General features: G+C 39.2%; 1 long non-coding RNA gene across 1 annotated transcript; it reads right to left on the reverse strand.

Annotated features, from left to right (window-relative positions):
• Positions 1 to 505: 505 nt before the first annotated feature.
• Positions 506 to 1,923, reverse strand: LOC107986386 (uncharacterized). The gene is made up of 3 exons (XR_001742521.1): positions 1,725 to 1,923; positions 1,510 to 1,587; positions 506 to 698 (listed from the first exon to the last, which is right to left on the reverse strand). It is a non-coding gene; the product is annotated as an uncharacterized LOC107986386 (long non-coding RNA).
• Positions 1,924 to 2,432: the final 509 nt, after the last annotated feature.

The following is a 2,432-nucleotide window of genomic DNA, read 5'->3' on the forward strand; positions in this document are numbered from 1 at the left end:
ACCATAAAAATGGGCAACCAGCAGCCTTCAGGGCTTCTCTATCTATGAAGTAACTATTATTTTATTCCTTTACTTTCCTCATAAACTTACTTTCAAATTACCCTGCGGACTCACCCTGAATTCTTTCTTCAGTGAGATCCAAGAACCCTCTCTTTGGGTCTGGATCAAGACCCCTTTCCTGTAACATATTCAGGCCAAACTCCAATAATATAGAATCATTTTGATTAAAATAATATTGTTTATAGTTCTCCAAATAGAATAGCTTCTACTATATTTTAGGGTACAAGCTCCTAGGACCCTAAAGAGAAGTCTACAAGTGACCTAGAATACAAGAATAAATTTTTAGAGCATGGGAAAAGCAATGGTTCTGGGAGCCCTTCTAACAACCAGTGTCTGAGTGGACCACTTGGATACAAATCTATTAAATGTTTTGTCGATGCTACATAAAAGTATGTTTTTTTATGGATAGAACATTTCTTTGAATCAATGTGACCTGGTAGCTTGAATAATAGATTTTTATGAACTTAGTACATCTAATTTGGAAATTAAAATGGTGACACTCACAGTTTTGTAAATTTATCCAGCTGTATATTTCTTGGAAGCATGAATAGGGTGTCTGAGAGAAGAAAGTATACTTAAATAGACTCGTTTCTTCCCACAGCATTGACTTGTTTCTCTCCCCTGGTTTCTAGGTCCTACTATAAAATGGAGAAAGAGTATATTAGTCAGGTTTTTAGCTACAGAACACAAAATCTATTCTAGCTGGTTTTAATTCAAGGGGGCTATTATGGCTCGCATAATCATTGGCAGACCTGATAAAACAGACACTGGAAGCTTTCTGGAATGATTTTTCTAACCGTACAGTAGAGCTTGATTACAAAGGGAATAATGGATGATTCTTTCAAGAACCTGTTGAATCAAGAAATCACAGCCACAACTGTCAACTCCAGCCCTACAAAACCTGTGCCACTATTTACACCAAAAAGATGCATGTCATACGCTCTGCTCATCTCCTTCTATGGAACTCAGTTTAGATTCAGTTTCCTGGGAGTATACCAACTGGCAGATCTAAATTATGTCTGGAATCCTAGCTGCTATAGAGTATGGGAAATCTTGTATTTAGCCTTCAAGCCAATGCAGACAGGAAGGCACACTAAAAGAGGTTTGGAATGATTGCTGAGTGAGCTGGCTACAGTATCTGCTACATGGGGTCTGGAGGTGTACATGTTTTAATAATTTAAGAACCTGACTCATGACATCCTTAGAAACAGACAATTCAGATTCAAGTCTTGCAATATTTGGATTATAAATATTATTATTTGGCAGTGGGAATAAAAGGGAGGGAGAGAGATGGGAGTAAACAGGAAGGTATTAACAGAAGCTGGGACCTTAGGTTTCGACAGATTCATGTTCATGAGACCACTTTTAGATTAGTCAGTTTCTATATAACTCTCTCTACTCTGCTTTCTTCATGGCCTGTCACTTGCATAAAACATAATCTTGGCTTACCTCTTTATCTGGCTCATTCAACCTCTTAGTGGAGGATAGAAACCACTTATCCCTTTGGATAGGACAGAAAGTTTTTGTCTGTAAGTAAGGAATAAACAGTTTTCTCTGTGGTTCTTTCATTTTTCTATATGACCAACATCAAATGCACCATCAAATACACTGCCATCCTCCCACCACCACCACTACCCAAGAAGAGAGTTAAACTTTCTCTTTACCGGAGGTGTGCACTTTGTAGATTTGGTGCTTCCTTTGCAGAGCTTGATGCTATTGCCAGCAATGTCTTTTCGCGGAATGCTCAAAGACTGGTGGGGCTTGGCATCGGTATAAGTGCAGGGATGGGGGTCTGATGTATTAGCAAGTATATTATGGCCCCACATCAAACTCTCAATTTCCCAGCCTTGCTGAATTAGCTGCTTCTTTCCTTGTCTCAAGTGGCAGCATGTGGGCAGAAACTTCAAGATGAGGAGCATCTGTTACCACTTTTGAATTTTCAGTTTTCCCTAAAACTCAAACCTGAAACCTAGTGCACAGCTGAGTGAATAAGCAAGCTGTGTGTTTGAGTGGCAAATCACAGCGTGACTACACCCTCCTGGAGCAGCTCTGCAGACTTCCTCCTTGTCAAGAAGCAGATAGGGTCTGCTGTCTGTGGCTCCTTAAGGCTGTCTCTCCACAGGCAGGGCTGCGCTGTGAAAGAATTGAGTTGTTTGGCTGCGCTGTGAAAGAATTGAGTTGTTTTTAGAATTTCCTTTTGATGCTCTTTTGATTCTAATTTTCTTTAAGAAGAACTGAGATATTATAGCCAAAATTAGAAAAGCCATCTTATTTCGTTCTCCCAATATGTTCAATTATTGGAGACAAAGAATTTTTGGCTTCATCAGAGTGTTTTGGAACAAGTATTTACAAATAATTACCTAGTGGCCCTT

The sequence above is a fragment of the Homo sapiens genome, chromosome 5 (genome assembly GCF_000001405.40).
Source record: "Homo sapiens chromosome 5, GRCh38.p14 Primary Assembly".
NCBI classification, from domain to species: Eukaryota; Metazoa; Chordata; class Mammalia; order Primates; family Hominidae; genus Homo; species Homo sapiens.